The 21883-nt window shown below is 50.6% G+C and overlaps 1 protein-coding gene and 1 long non-coding RNA gene across 6 annotated transcripts in view, besides 7 other annotated features; one reads left to right on the top strand and one right to left on the bottom strand.

Annotated features, from left to right (window-relative positions):
- RAB37 (RAB37, member RAS oncogene family) overlaps positions 1-21883 on the bottom strand; it is a 76205-nt gene that overhangs the window by 8002 nt on the left and 46320 nt on the right. For 2 of the 5 annotated variants that reach the window (NM_001006638.3, NM_001163990.2), the window contains exon 1: positions 1969-2078. In NM_001006638.3, coding sequence (NP_001006639.1) covers positions 1969-2061 — 93 coding nt within the window. In that variant the 5' untranslated portion in view covers positions 2062-2078. Of the gene's footprint in view, positions 1-1968; positions 2079-2216; positions 2547-2602; positions 2775-9967; positions 10079-21883 lie in introns of those variants that run through there. The other 3 variants (NM_175738.5, NM_001330471.2, NM_001163989.3) reach the window with 3 other exon arrangements.
- Positions 276-998: an enhancer, noted in NCBI's record as "H3K4me1 hESC enhancer chr17:72734475-72735197 (GRCh37/hg19 assembly coordinates)". NCBI's record gives its function as "activates a minimal SCP1, AML or CMV promoter by ChIP-STARR-seq in primed H9 embryonic stem cells {active_cell/tissue: H9 hESC(primed)}" and the evidence as "EXISTENCE:reporter gene assay evidence [ECO:0000049][PMID:30033119]".
- Positions 1363-1452: an enhancer, noted in NCBI's record as "active region_12716". NCBI's record gives its function as "activates an Ori minimal core promoter by ATAC-STARR-seq in GM12878 lymphoblastoid cells {active_cell/tissue: GM12878}" and the evidence as "EXISTENCE:reporter gene assay evidence [ECO:0000049][PMID:35858748]".
- Positions 1723-2446: an enhancer, noted in NCBI's record as "H3K27ac-H3K4me1 hESC enhancer chr17:72733027-72733750 (GRCh37/hg19 assembly coordinates)". NCBI's record gives its function as "activates a minimal SCP1, AML or CMV promoter by ChIP-STARR-seq in naive H9 embryonic stem cells {active_cell/tissue: H9 hESC(naive)}" and the evidence as "EXISTENCE:reporter gene assay evidence [ECO:0000049][PMID:30033119]".
- Positions 1923-2122: a silencer, noted in NCBI's record as "silent region_8938". NCBI's record gives its function as "represses an Ori minimal core promoter by ATAC-STARR-seq in GM12878 lymphoblastoid cells {active_cell/tissue: GM12878}" and the evidence as "EXISTENCE:reporter gene assay evidence [ECO:0000049][PMID:35858748]".
- Positions 1995-9557, top strand: LOC124904057 (uncharacterized). Its single transcript, XR_007065905.1, has 3 exons — positions 1995-2076; positions 8441-8583; positions 8998-9557. It is a non-coding gene; the product is annotated as an uncharacterized LOC124904057 (long non-coding RNA).
- Positions 2323-2372: a silencer, noted in NCBI's record as "silent region_8937". NCBI's record gives its function as "represses an Ori minimal core promoter by ATAC-STARR-seq in GM12878 lymphoblastoid cells {active_cell/tissue: GM12878}" and the evidence as "EXISTENCE:reporter gene assay evidence [ECO:0000049][PMID:35858748]".
- Positions 2423-2592: a silencer, noted in NCBI's record as "silent region_8936". NCBI's record gives its function as "represses an Ori minimal core promoter by ATAC-STARR-seq in GM12878 lymphoblastoid cells {active_cell/tissue: GM12878}" and the evidence as "EXISTENCE:reporter gene assay evidence [ECO:0000049][PMID:35858748]".
- Positions 2833-2892: an enhancer, noted in NCBI's record as "active region_12715". NCBI's record gives its function as "activates an Ori minimal core promoter by ATAC-STARR-seq in GM12878 lymphoblastoid cells {active_cell/tissue: GM12878}" and the evidence as "EXISTENCE:reporter gene assay evidence [ECO:0000049][PMID:35858748]".

Genomic DNA, 21883 nt, shown 5'->3' with positions numbered 1-21883 from the left:
TGGCTCTGCTCTGCTCATCTTCCCCAGGGACACGCAGGAATGGTGGAGAGGAGCACTTTGTCCCACTGTTCTCCAATCTTGGATAACAGGGGTCTAGATCCAATGCTGGAATTTCCCAGCTGCTGGTTAGGTGGCTTAATGGGTTAAGCAGGGACTAGGTTTGAATTATTTTTGAGGCTCTGAAATTGACAGTGGAGCCCAAAGGCATTCCTGTTGTGGGCATGGGGTACTGGCATTAGTTAACTCTGGTGGAGAGGCAGGGGTGGCTGAGCAGAAGGGGTATGAAGGATGGGTCTTGATTTGTAAATGGCCTACTGTGTGACTTTAGGAAGATTCCTTAACCTTTCTGTGGCATGGTTTCCATAGTGGGTAGAAGGAGGAGGGATAATGTCTTTGAGGTATTTCTAGAGTCTGTTAATGGCTAGGGCCCATCATCGTGGTGAATCACCTAAGACCCAGGGAAGAGTGGCCCAGGGTGGGAACTGTCTGCCTGTGGGCCACATCACCCCTAGTCTGGTCCAAGGAGCTCCTGCCAGGCTTTCTCAGAGGGTCCTGGACTCACTCCCCTGGGGCAGGCCCGGGGAGGCTGGGGACCAACTCTCCGGCCAATGCCGCTTGGCCAGGGAACAGATGAAGGGGTGGGGGATAGGAGCTTTCTGGAGCCTGCACTCCTCCCTGGCTCCTGGGTCCCAGCCCTGGAGCAGGAAGGAGGGAGGGAGGGCCAGTCTTTGTGTACTTTACAGATCACAGCTGCCTTGAGCAAACGATGCCAGCTACCCACCCAGCTCGGTGATTCCACCAAACACAAACAGCTGCCTAGCCTGGCCACCTCCTAGGCAAACAACCCAGCTGGTTTGCAGGGCAACAAGGTCAGGCAGTCCCCCTCAGCCTGGGGCCTGGCCAACAGCAGCTCCTCCTCTCCGAGGGTGCAGGGGCCCATTTCCTGCCACAAGCCCACACAGGACGCCTATCTCAACGGCTCTGGGCGGATGACTTGCAGGGTGGCTTCCCCCGAAACACTGGGGTGGAGGCTGAGGCTCCCAGCAAGGGTGAGCCCTGGTGTCGGGGAGGAAACCGAGGCCCAGAGAGAGGCAGGTCTCCTTCAAGGCCATGCAGCGGAATCCAGGACAGCCCTCACTCCATCCCCAACCCTGCAGAGGAAGAGTGGAAGCTCTAGGCTCCCTCAGCAGTTCTTTCAGTTTCTGGTACCCGCTCACTCCAAGGACACAGATGGAAGGCGACAGACCAGTCCACTGCTGTCCCTACCTGTTTCCATACAGGACACCCCTGTAGAGGGAGCAAGCCCCAGAGAGCAGCCCTGGAGCTCTCTCAAGTGCGGGATGCGAAAGACCAACCACTGAAATCTTTCTCAGGTTCGAAAAATTCCCAAGTGACCTGCAGGCCGGCTGGCAACATCCTTCTGGGAGGAGCGGCTTCCGACTGCAGGGAGGAAGGTGGGAGGCAGTGCCTCCAGCGGGTGGAATGGGAGGGGAGCAGCTGGGGGACATCAGGCCTTAAACCTGGATGTCAGATCTCAACTAAGAGCTTAGCTCGGAAAATGGCATTAACGCCAGTTCCTCTGCCAGCAGGGGACGTCCTCTCCGAGTCTCCGTTCGGTCCCCATCTCCCAGCCCTTCCCAGCCTGAGCCCCGAGAGTTGCGCGCTTAACCCTCACCAAGAAGCATGGGCTCCCGGGGGCTCATATTTGCCAGAGTGTGGCAGAAGAGAACTGAGTTGGGGCCGGCGGGGGGATCACTCAGTTTTTGCGATCTTCCGCGACCCGCCCCCACCAAGCCAGCAGAGACACCTAGAGCTTGGGACGGCCCCAGAGGCTGTGTCCTGACCCTCTCTCCCTCCCTCCTCTGGGAGACGCAGCTGCCTGGGGGAAGGGCTGAGTCCAACCCAGACGCAGCCAGGAAGGGGCTAGCGCCGAGGAGGGCGGGGGTCTCACGGAAGAGGCCCACCCACCTTGCCCGTGAGGTCGTAGCTCGGACTGCAGGGCGGGGAGCGCTCGGGGGCCTCGCCATCCCGGGTGGCAACGGCGCCTGGCGTGCCCGTCATGTCCCTGGACGAGAGGTGAGCAGTGCCGGCCCGCAGGCGAAGGAGAGCGCAGGAACGGCCCCACCCCCGCCCCGCCCACTCCTCCCCTCCCTCGACCGGGACCCCTCAGGCTCCTCCCTCCGTCCCGTCGCCCCCTCGACGACACCGGCTCGGACCTTGCTGTTCCCTGAGGGCACGCAGAGCCGCAGGGTCTGCGTGAAGGGGCGGGCAGCCTCCCTGAGCAACACCGGCTCGGCTCCGTGCGCTTCGGACATGAGCCACATCCAGCCCCGGGACCGGTCCCCTGTGGTCGCTTGCTTGCCCCTGGGGGAGCGGGCCGCGGGGACCCCGTCTGCTGCGGAAGAGTTCCCGTAGTCGCTGCGCACCGCGACAGCAGGCGGCGCCCGAGCCCCGGGCCGTGGGCTGTCCCCAGGTGGCGAGGCGGGGAGCTGGGGACCCCTGGGCTGCGCCTCCGCCGATGGCCCCGAGACACTTCCTCATCTGTTAAGTCACCCGGCCCGAGCTCATCTGAATATAGTTTTGTTTACCAACCCGTACTCGCCTTGCAGCACATGTACGCTGCGGTGTTTTGGGGCCTCTGCCTGGTGCGGGGACTTTGACCCTTTAGTATGGATCACCTCTCATTTCCCCCGGCCTGTTGGTTGTGCCCAGAATGTCCCACCAGGGGAGAGCTTTCGCAAGAGGGCTGCGCAGCACACATCTCCCAGTGGACCGCTCCTGAAGGCGGGGCCGGCCTTATTAACCCATGACACTCACCCTGGCCCCGAGGAGGAGCCAAATAAATTCATGAAGTCGTAGATCATTTTGAGCAGAGCTGCCAGGATATCCCAGGCACCCGGCAGCTCCTGGTGACAGAGAGTGGGGAGTGCAGCTGGGGTTGCCGGTAGCAGAGCTCAGGGGCTCTGTGGCCTGGGCCGACCTTTCAATTACCCCCATCTCCACATTCTATAAGCAGCTTCAAGTTACCAAGGAACAGGGCGGGTGCATTACAGCGGGACGGTTTGAGGGATGTGTAGGGAGGGGAGAGCTGGAGAGGGGTACCTGCACTTTTTTTTTTTTTCAGACAGAGTCTCACTCTGTCGCCCAGCCTGGAGTGCAGTGGTGCGATCTCGCCTCACTGCAACCTTTGCTTCCCGGGTTCAAGCTATACTCCCGCCTCAGTCTCCCGGAGTAGCTGGGATTACAGGTGCGCGACATCAGGCCCGGCTATTTTTTCTTTTTGTATTTTTAGTAGAGACGGGGTTTTGCCATGTTGGCCAAGCTGGTCTCAAATTCCTGACCTCAGGCGGTCCGCCCACCTCAGCCTCCCAAAGTGCTGGGATTACAGGCGTGAGCCACTGCGCCCGGCCTGCAATTCTTAACTTAGGTGTGGAGGTGAGGAGCAGGGGTAGACGTGGCTTATGGGCCACCATAGGCCTGTGGGGACTGACTTTGTACGCCAGCCTCCAGCCCTGTATTTTCTGACATCAGCTGGAGGTATTTTCTGTCAGCTGGGAGAAGCGCCCAGAGTGGGGACAGAGGTGATCTCCAGTAGAGTAAAGAGCTTGGGTTACCTCTTCTGGAGGTGAGCGTGCTATAACCTCAGCTGGGCATAGGGCGGGACTCAAACAGGGAGCCTCAGACTGGAGTGTGGAGGCTGCGCAGCACACTACAGAGGCGTGGTGTTGGTTGCTATTTGGATGCCAGAGGCTCTTGCTGCAAATAATGCCGAGGTTTGCTCAATGCCGTGGGCTCCCGGAGACGGAGTCTCACTCTGTCGCCCAGGCTGGAGTGCAGTGGCGGGATCTTGGCGCATTGCAGCCTCTGCCTCCCAGGTTCAAGCAATTCTCCTGCCTCAGCCTCTGGAGCAGCTGGGACTACAGGTGCACGCCACCACGCCTGGCTAATTTTTGTATTCTTAGTAGAGAACTTCACCATGTTGGACAGGCTGGTTTGGAACTGCTGACCTCAGGCGATACGCCTGCCTTGGCCTTCCAAATTGCTGGGATTACAAGCGTGAGCCACCGCACCTGGCCTGGTATGCGGTCTTTTCTCTCCCCTTCCCTCCCCTCCCCTCTCCTCCCTTCCTCCCTCCCTTCCTTCCTTCCTCCCTCCCTCCCTTCCTTCCTTCTTTCCTTCTTTCCTTTCTCTCTCTCTCTCTTCTTTCTTTCTTTGCCTGCCTGCCTTCCTTCCTTCCCCTCTCTTTTCCTTCCTTCTTTTCCCTTTCTTTCTCTTTCTTTCTTTCTTTCTTTCTTTCTTTCTTTCTTTCTTTCTTCCTTCCTTCCTTTCTTTTTCTTTCTTCCTTTCTTTTTCTTTCTTTCTTTTTCTTTCTTTCTTCTTTCTCTCTTTCTTTCTTTCTCTTTCTTTCTCTCCTTCCTTCCTTCCTTCCTCTCTCTCTTTCCCTTTCTTTCTCTCTGTCTCTCTTTCTTTCTTTCTTTTTGTTTCTTTCTTGAGGTGGAGCTCTGTCATCCAGGCTGGAGTAAGTGGCACGATCTTGGCTCACTGCAACCTCCGCCTCCCGGGCTGTTCAAGCCATTCTCCTCCTGCCTCAGCCTCCCAAGTAGCTGGGATAACAGGTGCCCATCATCATGCCTGGCTAATTTTTGTATTTTTGTAGAGACAGGGTTTCACCATGTTGGCCAGGCTGGTCTTGAACTCCTGACCTTAGGTGATCCGCCTGCCTTAGCCTCCCAAAGTATTGGGATTACAGGTGTGAACCACTGTGCCCAGCCAGGATGCGGGTTTTCATTGCAGGAGGGAAATGGTGGAGGAAGAATGAGAGAGGGGACAGGGCATGCCTCATGCTCACCTTCTACTGTAAACCATGCTGTTATGGGTTGAATTCTGTCCCCCAAAGACAGGTTGAGGTCTGAACCACCAGTACCTCAGATCATGCCCTTACTTGGAAATGTGGTCATTGCAGATATCACTCATTAAGATGAGGTTATACTAATATAGGGCAGGCCATTAATCCAGTATGACCGGTGTCATAAGAAGAAAGAGACACAGGGAAAAGACATCCAGGTGAAGACAGAGGCAAGATGGGAGGAGTGTGGCTGCAAGCCAAGGAATGCCAAGGACTCCTGGGAGCCACCAAGGCCATGGAAGAGGAAGGAATGACCCTTCTCTGGAGCCTTCAGAGGGAGCGTGGCCCTGCTGGTACTTTGAGTTCAGATTTCTAGCCTCCAGCTGTGGTTCACGTTGTTGGCTCCAAGGCCCTCTTTGTCCTATGGTGGGTTTGGAATACAGAAGGTTGAACATTAGCACGAATCATCCAGAAGGAGCAGTGGCCTGAAGCACTTCCCTGCTGCGTTGCTGCACTAGTCTGGATGGAGGAATCTGACCTAGGGAAGAAGTCTTTGAACATGGGGAGAGGGGCTGCAGGCCTGCTGGGTCTGTGGTATGTGGGTAATGTCATACTTGGAGGGTGCGTACACTGTCCCCAGGGCCACTGTAATGTCCTGTAGGGTGTTCAAGGGCAGCCTCGGGTGAGTCAGAAGTGGGTTAGGGTCTAAGACATTCAGAACAGGGAACAGGGGCTGTGCAGAATAGGGACTCACTAAGGGATCCGTGTGGTCTCTGGGGAGGAAACCTGGGCCTCCTAACGTTCACTCTGAGGCTGTGTATGCGCTGTGGTAGCCTGTGTCTCTCCCCAGACACACACCACAGACACTCACACGTGTGCACCCACCCACAACACACCACAGACACACACACCTCACCACACACACACACCTCAGACCATACACACCTCACCCCTCAAATCACACCACACACCTCACCACACACACCTCAAATCACACCACACACCTCACACCACACACATCCCTCAAATCACACACACCTCACATCACACACATACACTCTCAAATCACACCACAAATATACACACACACCCTACATCATACCACACACATCTGCCTCACATCATACCATAAATACACATGCCTCACACCCTACATTATACCACAAACACACACTTCATAACATGTCCCACACACAACTTTGTATTATGCCACAAATGTGCACCTCATACTATAAACAAACACACCTACCATCATACCACATACATACACATCTTACATGACCCTCAAACACACATACCTCATTTCACTCCAAACACACACTCCTGTCACCACAGTGCAGCTCCAGGCACAGTTTATTTCACACCATCAACACCTGTGCCACATCACTGTGCAAACACCTGCCTCTCCAATGGACCCCATGCCTCACACCATCACCAAATGTGTATATCACCCTATAAATGACCCCCAACACCTCTTATTGCCTCCAGATCTGAGACGCACACCCCCACAATACCCCCAAATAGACACCCCTACCCTCCTGATCACAGATCACACTGTCATTGTCATGCAGCCCTGCTGATAGTGGAGGTACCAAGTGTCAGTGAGACAGACCCTCATGCGTGTTGAAAGATGGGGGGGCTCTTGTGTACACCTGAAACCACACACACACACCTCAAATCACGCCACACACACCTCACACCACACACACCTCACCCCTCAAATCACACCACACACCTCATCACACACACCTCAAATCACACCACACACGTCACACCACACACCCCTCAAATCACACCATACACATCTCACGCCACATACACACACATCAAATCACACCACATACACCTCACACCACACACACTTCAAATCACACCCCAGACACACACACCTCACCATACACACACACTCACACCACACACACCTAACCCCTCAAATCACACCACACACCTCACCACGCACCTCAAATCACACCACACACCTGCCACACCCCTCAAATCACCTCACCACACACACCTCAAATCACACCTGCAGAGATGGGGGCAGGGGACTCCCTGCTATCCAGGTCGATGGCAGAAAACTTCAGAGCTGGGGAACAGCACAGCCCAAAGAGCACAGGGTCGGGATGTGGGAAGGAGACCCGGGCAGAGACTGGAGGGACAAGGCCTCAACTCATGTTTTGCAAAATGTGGCGCATGGACCCCCTGGGTCAGAACCCCCAGATTCTGGGCCCCCCACGTGGTTTTACTGAAGCAGCATGTGTATGAGGGAGCTTAGAATTTGCATTTCAGATGAGCTTCCCCCTGGAGGCTTTTATGTGCGCTGAAGGAGTGTTCGAAAACCACTGGTCTAAACTGTGCAACAGCTTGACCAACAGATGAGAGATTCAGACTTTATTTGGAAGGTAATAGTGAACCGTGAATGTTCAGGTGGGGGATGAGCAGAGTGAGGTGTTTTTTTTTTTTTGTTGTTGTTGTTTTGAGATGGAGTCTCACTCTGTTGCCCAGGCTGTAGCGCAATGGCATGATATTGGCTCGCCGCAACCTCCGCCTCCCAGGTTCAAGTGATTCTCTTGCCTCAGCCTCCCAAGTAGCTGGGATTACAGGCGTGTGCCACCACGCCTGGCAAACGTTTTTGTATTTTTAGTAGAGAAGGGGTTTTGCCATGTTGGCCAGGCTGGTCTTGAACTCCTGGCCTCAAGTGATCCGCCCGCCTCGGCCTCCCAAAGTGCTGGGATTACAGGTGTGAGCCACCACGCCTGGCCTGAGTGAAGGTTTTGAAAGAGGAATTTTGCATCAGTGTTTAGGCAAGACTAGGGAATTTGGGGGAAACTGAGGAGAGAGGTAACAAGGAGGACCTGAACTGTGGTGGACTGGAAAGACCCCTGTGTGAACCCCATCGACATCAGTGTGCCATAACCCCATCAGCACGACCCCCACAGCCAGTTTGATGGGGCTGGTAGTGGAGAATTTAGGGAAGGTCTTGACTGAGAGGCATCTACACAGGACCTGGGCAGGTCCCACTTCCAGAAGGCGATGGGCCTGGTAGTTTATGGGTGAAGGCATGCCCGAGGTAGTCACCCTGCTCACCTCTGGCTCCTCCAAAGTGGGAGACCAGGGGCTCTGTCCCTCCCCTGCCACCTGGGCGGCACTCAGCCTCCTGAGCGGAGCCTGTGGCAGCACCTGCCTCCCTTCCCATCATGCAGGAGTTGCAGGCTACAGCCTGGCCAGCGGCAGGGCCCTTATCCATGCCATATCTCAAATCTCCGTGAGAAGGACAGATGGGTAAACAAGTGTCTTGTAGCCTGGCTCTCCGGGGACCCCCAGACCGCTGATATCTGGAGGAGACCCCGATGTCCACCAGTTCTTTGCTCAGGTGTCCCCAGGCTGAGTTTCTGGCCAGGGGCTCAGGTCCTCACTCAGCGTAAGCAGGCAACAGGTTTGTCCTGAGATGCACCAGAACATCGGGTGCTGGCTGGTACCAAGCAGGCAGCCCAGGCTCTAGGAGGCCCACCCTGAGGTCAGTGGGAAAGCCCAGTGTGTCTCATCTCAGGCTAGACAAACAGTTTGACCACACACTTTCTTTTTCCTTCACAGGAAATCGGCCTCAATTTTCTTGCCAAGCTAGCGGCAAAATTTGGAGATCTCACCTCTGTGGTCTGTGGAACGTGAGTCAGACTTTGCATGTCCACAGCCACATCCACCCCACTCTCTTCCTTCCTCACCAGACAGGCAGAAGGGTGGGTGAGGAGATGCGGGTGTGACCCTGAGGGCAGGGTGTGCCCTGGCTGCTGAGAGCAGACTGGGCCTGGGCTGGGGTGGGTGACGCCTGGCACCAGGTCATCCTGGTTTGCTTCATGGCAGCCTGGTCCCAGACCTCAGGGATTGCCAGGTAGCCTTGGCCTCCTGGGTCTCAGCCCTTCCCTATTCAGCACTACCAGAGCCCAGCCGGTCCCAGTCTGGGGAGAGCCCTGGGAACTGGTGTTTCAGGGCCGATTCTAGGCCCCAGAACACACCCGAACCAGGCACTCACTTCCGCTTTGCCTCCTGGAAGGTCATGCAGAAGCCATGTTCATTCTGAACCCCTGCCTTCCTGGCTGTGACCCAGTGGGCAAGCCCATTTTTCTGAGTTTTCCTCTCTCTCTTCCCATCAGTGTGGCACTGCTGCGTCCTGACCCTGAGCGTGATCTCACAGGCCCTGTGCTCTGGTCTCAGAGGTTCCCAAACATCCGCGTTGTCCAAGAAGAGATGTTTGCTCTTCCCCATCTTGAGATGCTAGGATTCTGGAGTCCCAAGGGAAGGCCCTGCTCTTCCTGCCACAGCCCGAGAGAGGAGTGGAACCCTCTCCCAAGGTCTTCCCAGGAATTCAAGGGCAGCTGCAGCCGCAGGCACGGGACAACGCGGGGAGATGGGATGTGTGGTAAAGGAGGGATCCCTTGTCTCGCAGAGGGGCTGCGGGCAGAAAAAGCCGAGGGCACTGGGCTTCCTTAACCCGAGCTGCCCTTTTACCATTTTACCGAGGACTAAACACGGAACTGTAACCTGGGCCTGCCAGCTCCCTGAGACCCGTGTGACTGCTAAGTTTGGACTGTGCTGAAAACTTTGTCGTCCCTTTGTCCCTCCAGATCTTCTTGCCTTGGAGGGCTGACCTGAGCTATCCCATATTAAAATATTTTTTGCTTTCTGGCTTCCACTTGCGTTCATCCAATGTGGAGCCCCAGAAGGAGATGGGGAGCAGGAGGAGAGCAAGGTGGGACAGGGGATTGTTCTCCTGGCTGCCTCCCTGGGGGGCTCCCATGGGCTGCTGTGTCCCTCCACTGAAAGTCCCACGCAGCTCCTGCCAGGCAGCTCACCCAGCAGCCTGCTTTGTCCCTGGGTTCTGGTGAGGGTGCCTTCCCTTCCTGCTTGAGGCTAGAGGTGGGCGGAGTTCCTGGACTACCCAGGGGCAGTATACCCTCCCTCCTGGTCACCCAACACCCTCCTACACCTTGGGGAACAGTCTTCTCCTTAATCCTCCTTGAATGATCCAATGCGAGTGTCCACCTGTTTCCTGCTGGCACTCAACAGAAACACGCTGGGGTCCTGAGCCCAGGCCCAGAGCTGGCAGTGCCGGCCAGTGCTTACCGTGAATCCGATGCCCACAGTGGCCGAGAAGGAGCCGGGGATGAACTTGCCCTGATCGAACTGAACCAGCAGAGACGTCTTTCCCACACCACTGTCACCCACCAGGATGGTCTGGAAGGGAACAATAGAGAGAGAGCTGAGGGCCTGTGATGTGAGTTGGCCTCAGAGGTGTCCTTGTGGCTGTGGGAGTGGATTCTTTCTAAGCACGCATGTGCACAACATGCACACACACACACAGAAACACACACACACAAGACACTGACACACACATACAGACATAGAAAAACATGTACACACATACACAGAACACCCATGCACACACAAACATATATGCACACACAGAACACACATACACACAGAAACATACACACAGAAGCACACACATACACGTACACACATGTACAACACATACACACAGAACACACACGACACAGAAACATACATGCACAAGACACGTACAGACACAGAAAAACACATGTACACACATACACACAGAACACACATGGCACAGAAACATACATGCACAAGACACATACAGACACAGAAAAACACATGTACACATGTATGCACAGAACACACATGACACAGAAACATACATGCACAAGACACATACAGACACAGAAAAACACATGTACACATATATGCACAGAACACACATGCACACACATGCACAGAACACACATGCACACACAAACATATGCATACACAGAGCACACATATACATACAGAAACAGATGCATACAGAGGCACACACACATAAACATACACACATACAACACATATGCACAGAACACACATGATGCAGAAACATAGGCACACACACAAACACATGCACACACAGAGAAACACACATGCACACACAGACACAAAAACGTGTACACACAGAAACACACGTATACAGACACAGACACACTTGTACAACACAAACACACAAAACATACATGCACACATAGAAAGAACACACACATGCACACAGATACACATACACACAAAAACATCTACACACACAAACACAAATACACATAGTACACATAAAACACACATGTACACACAAACACACACATACACACAGAACACACACATGCACACAGACATGTGGAAACACATGTACACCAACATGTATCCTCATATACAGACACAAGCACACATGCAAACACACAGAAACACACATTCGCACAGACATGCATATACACAGACATAGACACATGTGCACACAAACACATGCACACAGAAACATATACAAAGACATGCACACAGACACACATGCACACACACAGAAACTCAGAAACACACAGACATGCATATACAGACATGCATACACAGAGACATGTATAACACAAACACATATATATATACACATACATATGCACATTCACACAGACACACAGACACATATACACAGGCACCGACACACAGACACACACATTCACAGACATGCAGCATACACGCAAACATGCACACATGCACAGATATACACACAAACATAAACACAAACACAGACACAGACACACACACATAAAAACACATACACATGCACACAGATACCCACACATACACCCAGACACACAAACACACTAAAGTCTCGATTTTCTATTGAAGTCACTGAAAGGGGCATGAAGGCACAGAGGAGATCTCCCTCCAAGTTAATGAGCATCTGAAGTGACCATGAGAATGTGTCTCTCAGACTTCCATCCACAGGGGCATCCATGACCGATGGTCCCCACTGCCGTGCTCTGAAAGCCATCATTGTCATGTTTGCACCAAGGTCATGCTTCCTACAGGCAATTACCAGCCAAAGGCGGAGCACAGCAGGGACACTGAGGCAGGCCTGTTCCTGGGAGACACAGGACCCCTCTAACGGTTGAGTTAGCTCAAGGGCTCCCTCATGGCCTTGCACAACCCTCCAGATACTGCAAGGTGGTCTGGGATGCTTCCATGCAACCTTTCTGCCCTCTTTCCTTCACGGGGATCCAACCTGCATCATGGTCTGAAGGCTCCCCTGGCCTCCCTGGCACCTACTCTATTTCTCTCACAGGCATTTCCCTCAGTAAAACCCTTGCACATTTGATTCCCTCTTCACATCTCCTCTTCGGAAGACCGGGACTAACACAATGTCCATAGATCTCCTGTGTGGGAGAGCCCCAAAAATCCAGTCTATAGAATAAAACAAAATCAGATAGCTGGTATGTGCCTTGCACACTTGGACTTAGAACAAGGAGAAGACAAGATTTCAAAGAGAAGCAGATTCTGGGAAAAGAGGGGGAAGGCCGCCTTCCTCTGGGAGGTCTGAACTGGGAGGGAGAAGGGGCGATAATTAGCTTGGAAGTTCAGATGAAATGTTTGAAAGAAAATCATAAACAACAGAGAAGAACTCTACATGCACCCAGAGGCTGGTACCCTCAATGAATGGATGAATGAATGGGTGAGTGGATAAATGCCTTAGTGTAAAGTGGACAGTGGCCTCTTTCCAAAGACAAGAATTCAAGACTGTGTGAAAGGACTAGGAGGTGCAAACTTTAGCTGGACTTGTAAAAACATAAAGACATAAAAACAACTAAACCGTAAAAGCATAGAGATTGGCTGGGCCTCTTTGGGTCGGGCCCAGCCACTGTTCAACTCTGGCAGTGACATGGAAGGGAATGCATATCAGCGTCTGCTTACCATGAGGTTGTCCATGGCATTGACTTTGGATGTCCCATGACTGTGCCCCCACCCACCTCCTGAACCTCTCCAGCTTTTATTTCCTCCTGGTTAGAGAACTCATTTGTTTGTTATGTGCAGTGGTTTTAATAATTTACATCTAGAATCTAACTTCCTCAGGCTTTAAGAAGTGCTTCCTAGAGAGAATATTCCAGAATGTGAGGGGTAGTCCATCCACGTTCCCCTCATTCGTGTCTTAAAGAATGTGACAGATTCTAATTCTTTTCACTTTTATCCTTTTCCTTTCCAGGGTGAGGAGTTTCCATCAATTTTCATCATAGGAAACAGTCCTGTCTTCTCGGGACATTTTCCAGCTCACTGAGGTCCGGGGGTGCACATAGGGTTCAGCATTTCAGATTCAGCTGAACCTTGGCTCGGGGTGGGGCAGGATGATCCTCTCATATTGGTCATGGTCTTTTTTTTTTTTTTTTTTAGGCAGAGTCTCTCTCTGTCGCCCAGGCTGGAATGCGGTGTCACAATCTCGGCTCACAATAACCTTTGCCTCCCGAGTTCAAGCTATTCTTCTGCCTCAGCCTCCCAAGTAGCTGGGACTACAGGCGCCCGCCACCACACCTGGCTAATTTTTGTATTTTTAGTAGAGACAGGGTTTCACTGTGTTAGCCAGGATGGTCTCGATCTCCTGACCTCGTGATCCACCTGCCTCGGCCTCCCAAAGTGCTGGGATTACAGGTGTAAGCCACAATGCCCTGCTAGGTCTTTTTTTTATCAGCATTAGAAATCTATTGACAATGGCCAGGTGCGGTGGCTCAAGCCTGTAATCCCAGCACTTTGGGAGGCCAAGATGGGCAGATCACCTGAAGTCAGGAGTTTGAAGTCAGCCTGGCCAACATGCTGTCTCTACTAAAAATACAAAAATTAGCCAGGCGTGATGGCAGGCACCTGTAATCCCAGCTACTTGGGAGGCTGAGGCAGGAGAATCCCTTGAACCCGGGTGGTGGAGGTTGCGGTGAGCCAAGATCATGCCACTGCACTCTAGCCTGGGTGACAGAGCAAAACTCCGTCTCAAAAAAAAAAAAATCTACTGATAATGACTCTAAGAGCTTTTTACCTAGGCCATCGTGGAGAGCTCAGCGCTGGTCTATTTACAAGCATTGTTGAATGATCTCTTCCTAAACCTAGGACCTCCCTTAGGCCTGCTCCTTCTCTGTGCTCCTCCCCATGAAGCGAGGTGTCCACATGGCCAAAGGCTCCTATTCCTCCTGTAGACTGACTGCACTTTTCCCCAAGGTTGCTCTTATGGTGGCATCCCTAGGTCTGTGGTGTGGCCAAGGGGTGACGATTTGCAGGGGCTGTGGACAGAGCTTGGATGTGGAGCCTCATGCATTCTTCTGACCAAACCAAAAGCACTTGTTACATGTCTTCTCTCGCCACTCAACAGCTGCTGAAAATTCCTTTGGGGTTGGGGTGCCCAAGGGTGGGAGGAGAAGGAGAGGAGCTTGTGGGTGGGGGGCTGGGGACAGGAGGTTGTTTGTCCCTAGGCTGCCACATTTTAGTGTGGAACTTCTGAGAATCCTACATGCTAACCTGGCTTCCAGGTTGGTAAGAAGGTATTTTGTTCAGGAGGGAAGATTAGACACACTTGATTTTGTAGCTTTTTGAGCTTGCTTTAGAATGTTAAGATACTGAGACACATGGTATGTGGGCCTCCATTTGTATTCTAGCCCTGGCCCCCAAATGTTAGGGATGGAGCTGCCTAAATCCATTACCTTAGATATTGTCAGGCCTTTGAGCCCAAGCTAAGCCATCATATCCCCTGTGACCTGCACGTATACATCCAGATGGCCTGAAGCAACTGAAGAGCCACAAAAGATGTGAAAATAGCCTTAACTGATCACATTCCACCATTGTGATTTGTTTCTGCCCCACCCTAACTGGTCAATGTACTTTGTCATCTCCCCTACCCTTAAGAAGGTTCTTTTCTATTCTCCCCACCCTTGAGAATGTACTTTGTGAGATCCATCCCTGCCCGCAAAACATTGCTCCTAACTCCACTGCCTATCCCCAAACCTGTAAGAACCAATGATAATCCCACTGCTCTTTGCTGACTCTCTTTTCGGATTCAGCCTGCCTGCACCCAGGTGAAATAAACAGCCACGTTGCTCACACAAAGCCTGTTTGGTGGTCTCTTCACACGGACACATGAGACAGATATGTGAAAGGAAAATATCTTAGGCCCCCAAAATCACTAAGGAAAGCTCAAGCTGCAAACTGCTTAGGGCAAACCTACCTCCCATCTATTCATCTAAGTCACCCATCTGCTCACTGAGATAGATGCATATCTGATTGCCTCCTTTGGAAAGGCTCATTGGAAACTCAAAAGAATGCAACTATCTGTGATCTGGAAGCTCCCTCCATGTTTCCAGTCTTCTGCCTTTGCTTCTGAGTTGTCCCGCCTTTCCAGACCAAACCAATGCACTTCTTAACATATCTTGATTGATGTCTCATGTCTCCCTAAAATGTGTAAAGCCTAGCTGTGCCCTGACCACCTTGGCCACATGTCGTCAGGACTTCCTGAGGCTGTGTCATGGGCACGTCCTGAACCTTGGCAAAATAAACTTTCTAAATTAACTGAGACTTGTCTCAGATTTTCTGGTTTCACAGATAACCCAGCAGAGCTTCTCTCGCCACCCAACAGCTGCTGAAAATTCCTTAAATTTCTCCAAGTTGGTTCCCAGTTTCACTGCTTGGAGAAGCTGAATGTCAACTTTGGGTCCAGATTTGTCACCATGCCTTCCCTCTTTGTGTTTCTCTTCGCATTTATGAAAATGTTACGGCCGGGTGCGGTGGCTCATGCCTGTAATCCCAGCATTTTGAGAGGCCAAGGCAAGTGGATCACGAGGTCAGGAGTTTGAGACCAGCCTGCCAACATAGTGAAACCCCGTCTCTACTAAAAATACAAAAATTAGCCAGGCAAAAATGCGCGCCTGTAGTCCCAGCTACTCAGGAGGCTGAGGCACGAGAATCACTTGAATCCAGGAGGCAGAGGTTGTGGTGAGCCGAGACCACGCCACTGCACTCCAGCCTGGGCGACAGAGTGAGACTCCGTCTCAAAAAAAAAAAAAAAAAAAAAGTTAGTTAATTGTGGTTCAGACAGAAACCTCTGGGTCAACTTTGCCACCATTCAGACAAGCGTCTTTGTTCTTTCTTGAGTCATTTTGTTTATATCTGTATTTGTGCCTCATTCACTTCCAATGGGGACAGGTGGTTTCAAACAAACCCACAAGTACGAGAAGGCAGTTCAAGAAATTGCCTGAAAAAATATACAAAGAATAGGGGTGTGTGTGTAGGGGTGGGGTGGGCTGGGGCAAATCTTCCATCCCAGAGTGAGGTTAGGTTGTTACTGCGTTTGAGCATTGTGTTTGGTTATAGGTTTCCTGACAATCAAGGCAAAGGGGAAAACCAGGTGGGGTGTATGGTACTTGTCTGACATTGTATGCCTGAGTCCTTTCCATCGAGTATTTTCTCCTGTTATACACTGCTATAATCTGTTAAGTGGATCCTTCTGCAAGGGGCCTTGAATAACAAAATGGGCAATTGCAACTTTGCGGAAGACGCAAAGCTTTTTCTAAAGCTGTTGTATCGACCCTTGATAAATGCAGGGCATAACATTAAATCCTACTTTATCCAGGCCTCTCAATGGGAGCCAGGCTAATGCTGTCTAAGTACACTATTGCTGCTTTTCTGTGACTTTATTATTCAGGGACAGCTTTTAGAAAACCTGATAAATGGGATGGTTACCATGGCTCCTAAAGTGGCTCTGAGTGACCTTCTTAACAAGACAGGAAATTCAGATGCCATAAAGAAAAGATCGATAGATTTGCTGCAATAAAAATGTTTTGGTTGACAGAAGATTCCACAAACAAAGTCGAATGAGAAATGGTACAGGGAAGATATTTTCGAGACATATGACATATGGTAATATCCCTCATATAAGGAGAGCTCTCAGAAGAAAACTTCAATAGAAAAGTGAACAAAGGATGTGAATAGGTTGATATATTTTTGTGTACATGTGGTTAGTTTTATGTGTCAACTTGGCTGGACTATAGTCCTACTTATTCAATTAAACACTAATCTAGATGTTGCTGTGAAGGTACTTTGTTGATGTTGTTAACATCTCCAAGCAGCTGACTTTAAGTCTTCAGTAATCTGGGTGAGTGTCCTCTGATTAATTGAAAGAGTTTAAGAGCAAAACTGAGGTTTCCCTGAGGAAGCAGAAATTCTGCCTCGTGTTTGTAGCATCAACTCTCGCCTGAAAATTTACAGCCTTTGGGCTGGCCCTACAGAGTTTGGACTTGCCAGCCCCCAGTCATGTAAGCCAATTTCTCGGACAAATCTCTCTCTCTTTCTTTTTTTTTTTTTTTTTGAGACAGAGTCTCGCTCTGTCGCCCAGGCCAGGGTGCAGGGGCACGATCTTGACTCACTGCAAGCTCTGCCTCCCGGGTTCACGCCATTCTCCTGCCTCAGCCTCCCAAGTATCTGGGACTACAGGCGCCCGCCACCACGCCCGGCTAATTTTTTGTATTTTTGGTAGAGATGGGGTTTCACTGTGGTCTCGATCTCCTGACCTCGTGATCCACCGTCCTCAGCCTCCCAAAGTGCTGGGATTACAGGCGTGAGCCACTGTGCCTGGCTGACAAATCTCTCTTTCTTTCCATATATATAGCTTACCGTTTCTGTTTCTCTGGAGAACCCTAACCGATACAATGACAATATAATGTATAGCGGCTTGATAAAAGTTTGGTAATGGTCAGTACTGGCTTAGATTTGGGGAAACAGGCACTCATACATACACTATTAGTGGGAGTATACATTGAGCAACCATTTTGGATAGCAACTGACAATATCTATCAAGGTTTCAAGTGCAAATTCCTTTGACTCAGCAACTCTATGGCTTTCCTTGCAAAAATAAACCAAGAGGACCAGGCGTGGTGGCTCATGCCTGTAATCCCAGCACTTTGGGAGGCCGAGGCGGATCACCTGAGGTTGGGAGTTTGAGACCAGCCTGACCAACATAGGGAAACCCTGTCTCTACTGAAAATACAAAAATTAGCAGGGCATGGTGACGTGCACCTGTAATGCCAGCTACTCGGGAAGCTGAGGCAGGAGAATCACTTGAACCTGGGAGGTGGAGGTTACAGTCAGCCAAGATCACACCATTACACTACAGCCTGGGTGACAGAACAAGACTCCATCTCAAAAAAAAAAAAAAAAAGTAAACCAAGATATGTGTATAAGGATGCTCATTGTAGTGTTTGTAAGAACAAATAATTCAGCAGTAGAGACTAGTGAAGTAAACTCTAGAATATACATACAATGCAGTACTGTGAAAACAGTAAAAGGATGAGGAAGATCTGTATGTACTGTATGTCCCTGTTGCAGCAGGGAAATACTGGGTAAAAGAGGGCGAGGTCCTGGCGATGGCTCCACCCTCAAGCCTGGACCTGCGGCCCTAAATGAGAACATGCATTCCTGTTTTCCTGCCTGAATGTTGCCTTTTCCAAAACCACCCTGGCCCACCATGTCCCCAGCCCTGTACCCATAAAAAGCTCTTGGCAGACGAGCAGAGTGGTGTAGCTGAGAAGGAGAGAAGAGACAAGCAGCTGAACGTCAAGAGTGGAAGCAACTGAGCATCGGAGCATACGGATAGACACGGCTTAACTTCAGATGGCACGGCTTCAGAGAGGAGCCCGGTTATCTCCAGCCAGGCTTCAGGGAAAGATCACCTTCTTCCCACACCATCCCTTTTCCAGCTCCCCTTCCACTGAGAGCCACTTCCACCGCTTAATAAAATCTCCGCATTCATCATCCTTCAAGTCTATGTGACCTGATTCTTCCTGGACACCTGACAAGAACCCGGGTACCAAGAGAGCAGGGTGTAAAAGGCTGTCACCCTGGCTCTCCACTGAGCTGGTTAACACTTAACTCTGTACCAAGAGGGCAGGGTGTAAAAAGGCTGTCACCTTGACTCTCCGCTGAGCTGGCTAACACTTAGCCATCTGTGGATGGCAACTGCTAAAAGAGCATTAATTGTGTTTTTCTTTTCTTTTATTTTTTTGAGACAGAGGCTCAGTCTGTCACACAGGCTGGAGTGTAATGGTGGGATCTTGGCTCACTGCAACCTCCACCTCCTGGGTTCAAGCAATTCTCCTGCCTCAGCCTCCCAAGTAGCTGGGATTATAGGCACCCGCCACCACACCCTGCCAAATTTTGGGTTTTTTTTTTCAGTAGAGATGGGGTTTCGCCATGTTGGCCACGTTGGTCTTGAACTCCTGGCCTCAGGTGATCCACCCACCTCGGCCTCCCAAAGTGCTGGCATTACAGTCGTGAGCCACCATGCCTGGCCTAAAAGAACCTTAATTGTAACACACCCCTTCATGCTGCCGTGGGGCCAGAGCCCAAAAGTACTCGTCCCAGCCCTAGCACCCACTTGCCTGTGTGCTCCCTCTCACGAGGGGCTGAACCCAGTGGGTTCGAGCAAGTAAAGTTCGTCCCTGCTGGTGCCTAAATGGCCGACTGGACCCAGAGCTGGTGCCCTCCAGTTCCTACCTGCAAAAGGGTCAAAGGAACTCTCCTGTCTCACTGTTTGGGAGAAAGTTCATTATTAAGCAAAAGAAGCAGGGGGCAGAGTGATGTATATAGTATGATGAATGTGTATATGTTACTTAGGTTTATCTGCTGGAGTATGATTAACTTTTCTCAGGGAGGCAATAGAGGCCAAGAGGATTGCCTTTGAGGTTCTGGGGCTGGTAGGTGGGAAATGGAGATAAGACTTTTACTTTTCATTTAATCTTTTTCTATGTTTTAAAAAATTTATTTAAATAATTTGCTTGGCCAGGTACAGTGGCTCACACTTGTAATTCCAGTGCTTGGGGAGGCCAAAGGCAGGAGGATCACTTGAGCCCAGGAGTTCGAGACCAGCTTGAAAACATAGGAAGACCCTATTCTACAATAAATAAAACAATAAGCTGGGCTTGGTGGTGCATGCCTGTATTCCCAGCTATTGGGGAGGCTGAGGCAGGAGGATTACTTGAGTCCAGGAGATTTTCCAGAATTACAGCTGCATTGAGCTATAATTGCACCACTGTACTCTAGCCTTGGTGACACAGTGAGAACCCATCTCAAAAGAAAAAAAAGGAAAAGAAAAAGAAAGGTAATTGTGAGCAAATTATTTTATTTTATTTATTTATTTTTTTGAGATGAGTTCTTGCTGTGTTGCCCAGTCTGGAGTGCTGTGGCTCATGATGACGAGTCACTGCAGCCTCGACCTCTCTGGGCTCGGGTGATCCTCCCACTTCAGCCTCCCAAGTAACTGGGACTACAGGCACATGCCACTGTGCCCAGCTAATTTTTTTGTATTTTTTGCAGAGTTGGGGTTTCACCATGTTTCCCAGGCTGGTCTCGATCTCCTGGGCTCAAGTAATCCACCCATCTTGGCCTCCCAAAGTGCTGAGATTAAAGGTGTGAGCCACCAAACTTGGCCTGCATTTTACCTTTTTAAAGAAAGTATTAACTGGAGGTATTTCAGAGCTGGTATTTTCGGCCATGTCTCTCTTTTTTATAAAATAGGATTTAATTTTTAGAGAATTTCTAGGTTCACATTAACACTGGGCAGAAGATACAGGGATTTTTCCACAGACCCTTTTCCCCCACAGATGTATAACCTTCCCCATTATCAACACCCTCCACTGCCATACTTTTTATGTTTTTCCTGTATTAAAATGCCCTAATAAAGGTAGTAGTCCAGTTGGTAAAGCAAACTCATACATGAGTGATCCTTCATGTAACCTGAAATAAATTGCTTTTCTACAGAAGAACAAAAGATTGGTAATAGATACACACACATATATTTAACAGCAGTTATTTCTGTGTGGCAGGATTCGGAGTGACTTAAGATGCATTCTTTGTGTTCATCTGTATTTCACTGTTTTTCTCTAACAAACACACATTACTTTTGTAGTGGGAAAAAGTCTGTGTGTGTGTTGAGGAGGTGCATTGCACTGGGGAATCTGATGAAAGCTAAGGGGATGCCCAAGTTTAGCCTACCTGTTGCTGAACAAACGCTTGTTTTTTTTTCCAAATACATCTAGCCAATTAATAGGTGCTTAAAAACAAGATCAAATTTTCTAGGCAGGGGGAGCCTCAATTGCAGCTCTTCCACTTTGTCAAGGAGCAGGTAGCAAAGATGACAGGTGCTCTATTCTGAAAATCAAAGAGCCCTTTTTTTTTCTCTAACCCACTATCTTAGTCCCGGCTGCTATAACAAAATACCATAGACTGGGTGGATATGATATGATATGATATGATATGATATGATATGATATGATATGATGTATGATATGATATGATGTTTTAGAGACAGTGTCTCACTCTGTCACCTAGGCTGGAGTGCAATGGCACGATCTTGGCTCACTGCAACCTCCGTCTCCTGGGCTCAGGTGATTCCCCTGCCTCAGCCTCCGAAGTAGCTGGGACTACAGGGTCGTGCCACCATGCCCAGCTAATTGTATCTTTTGGTAGAGACGGAGTTTCACCATGTTGGCCAGGCTGGTCTGGAGCTCCTGATCTCAAGGGATCTGCCTGCCTTGGCCTCCCAAAGTGCTGGGATTACAGGTGTGGGCCACTATGCCCTGCTGATTGTGTGGTTTATAAACAGAAATGTATTTCTCACAGTTTTGGAGCCTGGAGAGTCCAAGGTCAAGGCACTGGTAGGCTCAGGATCTGGTGAGGACCCACTCCTCAGGGAGGACTCCTTCTTGCTGTGTCCTCACATGGTAGAAGGGGCAAGGCAGCTCTCTGGCACCTTTCTTTTTCTTTTCTGTTTTTTTTTTTTTTTTTTTAGATGGAGTTTCGCTCTTGCTGCCCAGGCTGGAGTGCAATGGTACGATCTTGGCTCACCACAACCTCTGCCTCCCAGGTTCAAGCAATTCTTCTGCCTCAGCCTCCTGAGTAGCTGGGATTACAGGCATGCACCACATCTGGCTAATTTCGTATTTTCAGTAGAGACGGGGTTTCTCTATGTTGGTTAGGCTGGTCTTGAACTCCCTCCCGACCTCAGGTGATCTGCCTGCCTCGGCCTCCCTAAGTGCTGGGGTTACAGGCATGAGCCACCGCGCCCAGCCCTCTGGGGCCTTTCTTATAAGGGCACTAATCCCATTCAGGAGACCTAGTTACTCTCCTGACCTAGTTACTCTCCAA

Source organism: Homo sapiens, chromosome 17 (genome assembly GCF_000001405.40).
Source record: "Homo sapiens chromosome 17, GRCh38.p14 Primary Assembly".
Taxonomy (NCBI): domain Eukaryota; kingdom Metazoa; phylum Chordata; class Mammalia; order Primates; family Hominidae; genus Homo; species Homo sapiens.
The sequence above is the reverse complement of the archived record's forward strand: the minus strand, read 5'-3'. Positions and strand labels throughout refer to the sequence as shown.